Genomic DNA, 5,761 nt, shown 5'->3' on the forward strand with positions numbered 1-5,761 from the left:
CCCCCTATCAAGCTGCAAGAGAGATTTTTTAAAAAAAGAAAAAAAAGAAAGAAACTCTTTTATTACAAAGTCCCTTCCAATATAATACTGGCTGTCTACCCTGTGGGAACTACTAAAACAAGTCAGACAGAAGCCTAAGCCCCAACAATTTTTGAGAACTGAGCTGATTCTACCACTAACCGAGAAGGGCAGAGATACATAATAGTTAAGCACAAGGCTTAAGAGCCAAAGAGACCTCAGTTCAAGTCCTGGCTCCATTACTCAGGACCTGGTAAGTTCATTCATTCATTTATGTATTCATTCAGTAAGTATTTTGTGTGTGCCTACTACGTCACAGGTAGTTTTGTCAAACACTGAGAAAACCCTGGGGTACAAAACAGACATGGTTCCTAAACATTTACTGCATGCCTGCTTCCTACCACCAGGCACTAATTTAGCTGCTGGGAAAACAAAGGTGAACAAAATAAAGTCCTTGAATTTAAAGAGCTTTCACTCCAATGCTGGAAAAAGAGGAAAAAAAGTTAAAATAAAATAACATTATTATAAGAACCACGAAGGGGACATACGAAAAGCTCAAACAAAAAAATCATAAAAAGCACCTGACTTTGGAACTGCGGTCAGAGCAGGCAATGTTGCTTGAACTCTTTAAGTCTTGGCTGCTCTATCTGTAAAACAGGCATGCCACCGCACTGGGTTGACGTAAGGGTTAAAATTAACCCATGTAAAGCGTGTTCACAGTGCTTGCATACACAGACGTTCCGTAACTGGCAGTTATTATCAATATGACACATGAAAGTGCCTTGAGTGACTCTTGTAGGGAGAGGCATTCCTCCAATGGCCCTGACCCCTGAATGTTCCTGCAAAGAACACTAAGGCCTGAACACCCTCTGCCTGGACCACTGCTTGGGGTTATGTTCGCAGTGAACAATCTTGAGAGATGAGGTAATGTCTCCATCCAGGAAAGAGCAGGCTTGCAGTACAAGAGGCAGATTCCCCCAGCTCAGGGTTTCTCAGTGGCAAAGCAAACTCAGTGTGTACAATCTCCACCTGGGCCCCTTCGAATCACCCTCCTCAGGACTTGGGGAGCATGGGAGCCTACGTAAACATGATGCTCATGCCACTTGTTGTGCTGTGAGCAATAACAGCCTTTATCTCTGACCCAAGAGTCTCATGTTGGTTGCCAGCATGCATGAAACTGTATAATAGGCTAAATTATTAGCTTGTAAGTAGGGTTAAAAAAAACCGAAGCCTGATACTGTCTCTTAAGAATCATCAGTGAGCCTCAATTTAGCTTTCTACAGGTAAATCAAGTCCTCAATCATTTCTTCTCTGACATCACAGTCTCTTTTAAGGACAACTCTTAAGTGCCATTATCATAAAATGAACACACACACACCCCCCACAACACCAATTTAAATCATCTGAAATTTCTGTTTACCACTGTGACCAAGCCTGGCAGTTTCTTCTGTTCCTCACTACAGGAAAAATAGTATAGATATTAATGATGGTGTCTTGCTCTCCCCGAAACTCAGAAGGAGCAGGGACCACAGACACAGGTTTAGAATCTGGACAAAGGATGGTGACAAAGATATAAGATGGGTGGGATGGGGAGAGGGGTAGAGATGGTGGGGGGTGGGATGGCCAAAGAATCATACAAAAAAAGAAGGTGGGAAATCTAAATGTGGTGTAGTATACAGATTTGCTTTCAAAGTGAAGACTTACCTAGGAAGAAAAACGACCTCAGACATTTTAATCAGCAATGCTTTGCAAAAAGGCATTTTCTCAAGGGTATATCACTCTCATCAGATGCTAAATTGGTGTAACAATTTTCTGCATCCCAAATTAAAGTAAAAAATGCACAAACAACAATTATAGTTTTTGCAGGTCATAAACATTTTCTTGGTCCCCTTATAGCATTTTCATCCTTCTCTCCAGGTCAGGATTTTGATTTTTTGTTTTGGTTTTAGTAATACAGGTGTAAGTTCAATTTGCTATTTCTTGCTATATATGCCAAAAGCTCAGAATTTGAAATGCATTTTTAATTAAGCATACTGCTGGGAGTTTGGAAATTCCAGTTGGACCAGCATTTGTCTATTTCATCTTGACTGCAGAAATCAACATTGCTTTCCTCTCTGATTACCACTTACTCCTAGGGGTCACGTGCACAATCCAGGGAAGGAAATGGCAGGTACAAAAAGACACGTACACACAAGCACCACCGTTTCAGACACACATTTTGTTTGTTTAAAAAAGAAATCACTTGGGGAAAGGAAGCAGATTTATCACTTCTCTCAGGCACTCGCCATGCTGTGGAATTATTTCATGTGAAAGATAATTGCATCAATGAAATATTTATGTGCACTCATTATAGGAAAACACTTCATTTTATAACCAAAAATTTGTGCTGCTTAAGTAAAAAAGCAGGAAGAGTTTAGGTTGTAGAATTCCTTCCGTTTTGGATTTGTAAATTTGTAAATTTAGTAAACCAAAGCCAAGACAGCTGCACATCTCAGTTGAGATGTTCCTTGGAGCAACAGAGGTGTTGGAAGTGGTTTGTTGAAGTAGAGCTTTCAAAAAGTTTGTGTTACAATCAAAGGTATCCGAGACTCAGTTCTGTATTCTAAGGCCTGTGAAAACAAACAATTATATTCCAAAAAAATCGTTTACAAAATTAAACCATTCGAGCCCCCTCAAATTGTTTTAAAGGCATCCTCTTGTCCTCAACTTAGGAACTGATGTATTAGACACCATCTTCTTAGGACTGAGACACTGTATCAGATTCAGGACTAGCCTAAGGATCTGGGATAGTTTCACACAGAGAATGATACAGGGACTGTTGTGTATGCTACAGGCCAGCTGATTGTAATCCCAAAGGGATTTGTGTAATCTGTTAGAAAACACACAGACCTCAGAATACATGAGGCTGTGAACATAAATATATTTCATCCTGAGAAACTGCTCTGAGAAGGAAAATAAAAATAATAAATTCTTCTCCATCTAGGATAGATTTATCAGTCACTTACCTCGATGTGCAGTGCACAAAAATGAGGGGAAGGGAAGAGCAGCAATTAGGCCGACACAAAGGCAGACTATCTTATTTCACAGAGTGGTAGGAACAGTGGGGAACAGCAATTCCTTTCTTGCTACCTGACTCTGAAATTCCCAGCTCTTTAAAATCACTTAATTGCTTATCTTTGCAGGGAATGTTTACTTCCTTTCTCAGTATTCTCTCTCCCAAAGCTCTGCCTAACAATTCTTGTGGTAGTTTCTAATAACTCTTCTTCATGGGACCCAAGATAAAACGAAAGAATAAACTCTGCATTCAATGAGTACACATGGAGGACCCATCACTGACCAGGCTTTGTGTTAGGTGCTAGGGGTTTTAAAAAATCAGCCTATGAACTGCAGCATGATTTAAAAAGTGGTTTTCCAAACTATGTCACAGTTTATCACAAAATCTTAGTTGCAGCAACTGGAAGTCAAATCAACTTGCTAAAGCCAAAAAGAAAAATATTGGTGAATGTTGTAGGCAGAATAATGGCTCCCCAAATACGTCCTCATCCTGCTCTGCAGGATCTGTGAATATGTTCCCTTACATGGCAAAAGTGACTTTGCCGATATGATTAAGTAAAGGACCTTGAGATGGAGAGACAATCCTGGATTATCTGGATGGGCAAATCACATGAATCTTTTAAAAGAGGAGGCCTTTTCCTGGCTTTAGTCAGAGAAATATATATGATAACAGAAGCAGGCTCATCTAAAAGACAGTGAAAGAAAGTTAATATAGGACAAACAACCGAAAAGTCAAAGAGTTGTCTTCAAACCCAGTTAGACTCAACCAGTGGTTCTCAACTGGGAACAGTTTTGTCCCTTAGGAAACATGTGGCAATACCTGAAAACATGTCTGATGATCACAACTAGGGTTGGGGGAATGTGTTACTGGCACCCAGTAGGTAGAGGCAATTCCTTTCACAGAACATGTTTCCAGCACGAGATGGAGATGAAGCAATCTTTGAACAGGCATATCAATATACACTTTAGTTACATACTAGTAATGCATCTTGCCTTTAAGTTATTTCACATTTTCATGACTCTGGTATAAACAGTCGAAGTAGCCTGTGATGAAAGATGACAAAGATTTCAGAGCACGTTCTCAGATCAAATTATTACAGGATTCACGTACAAATATATGTGCCTAGAAACTGATATAACACTGAGGACAACATAAAAACGGAGATGAAAACATCTTGCAATATCTAGACATTCCCCTATAGCTTCAAGCTCAAAACTTTCCATTCCAGGAATCACTTCTTAGATAGGTCTGGCAAAAGCCCTTGAGTTGATTCTGATTGGTCCAGCTTAGACCACCCTCTGAATCCTGAACTAATCACAGTGGCCATGAGGATGGAGCACTACCCTAAGTGCCCAAGCTTGGTCATCTGCCCTCCCCTAGGGCCAAAAGTGCTGAATCAGCTCCAGCTCCACATAAACCTACTGTAATAGCAGAGTGTGGTCACCAAGAGCAAACAACATAAGAAAGATTTTTTTCCCCCAAGCTTCTACTACCATGGTAGATTCTGTCTAACCAAGTGGGCAGAGTTACTGTGGAAGGTTTTTATGAACATTCTATAACATCTTCCATGCAGAAATCCCTGTACCTACACTCGGGACCTTGAATTGATTGGTCTGTGACTCTAACTCCTGATAAGGTGTTCTACAAGGTCACAGTGACATACAACTGATAGGCTATGTCGTCTGTGGTTAATGTGACATCATACTGGTCAACACAAACTTTTTTTTTTAGAGAAAGCCATGACCGGGCATTCTAACAGCAGAAGCAAGTTACCCAGTATTGCCAGAAACATTTTGGCTGGACCTAAGAGATAGCTTCCTAAGATGATGAAAAAAAGGATAACGGTGAGAACTTTTTGCAATTCCTTTCACAGAACGTGTTTCCAGCACGAGATGGAGATGAACCAATCTTTGAACAGCCATATCAATATACATTTGAGAACAGAAATGACCTCGTGCCCCAGTGCAAATCCTACAATGTTGTACCTTTGCTCTATCTTTTCCAATCTACTTCTATCACACTTCTATTCTCTGCAAATCACAGGCGGTTCACTTTAGTTACATACTAGTAATGCATCTTGCCTTTAAGTTATTTCACATTTTCATGACTCTGGTATAAACAGCCGAAGTAGCCTGTGATGAAAGATGACAAAGATTTCAGAGCACGTTCTCAGATCAAATTATTACAGGATTCACGTACAAATATGTGTGCCTAGAAACTGATATAACACTGAGGACAACATAAAAACGGAGATGAAAAAAAATCCTTTTTCATATGAATCTCCCAGAAACAACATATTTGTCACATTTGTATTTAAATTTCCCAAGGCAGGTATCATGAGGCATCCTTTACAGATTTCCATCTGGTCTTTCCAATTGGGCTGAGGTATTTTTCCTTCTTTTGTTTCCTTCCTCCCTTCCTTTCAAAAAGCACTAAAAGAAAAGGTCAATTCCCTTTTCCTGCCCTCTCTCTGCTCCTCACCACAGCCTATATGTTGTTTTTCAGAACTTCTACCCAGTAGCACATAACCCTACCAAAAAAAAAAAAAAAAAAAGACACAAAGCAAACGCCCTAAATTGTTGAATACTAAAAACAATAAAAAAACATTTGAAAAATAACTTTTTAAACCAAAACATTGTGTATTAATAACAAAAGCATCAGAAGACAGATAAATACAAAGAGATCCAC

At 39.6% G+C, this 5,761-nt stretch overlaps 1 protein-coding gene across 6 annotated transcripts in view; it reads right to left on the minus strand.

Annotated features, from left to right (window-relative positions):
• Positions 1-5,761, minus strand: part of MAGI1 (membrane associated guanylate kinase, WW and PDZ domain containing 1) — a 685,393-nt gene that overhangs the window by 359,884 nt on the left and 319,748 nt on the right. The window lies entirely within an intron of this gene.

This window comes from Homo sapiens, chromosome 3 (genome assembly GCF_000001405.40).
Source record: "Homo sapiens chromosome 3, GRCh38.p14 Primary Assembly".
Classification (NCBI taxonomy): Eukaryota; Metazoa; Chordata; class Mammalia; order Primates; family Hominidae; genus Homo; species Homo sapiens.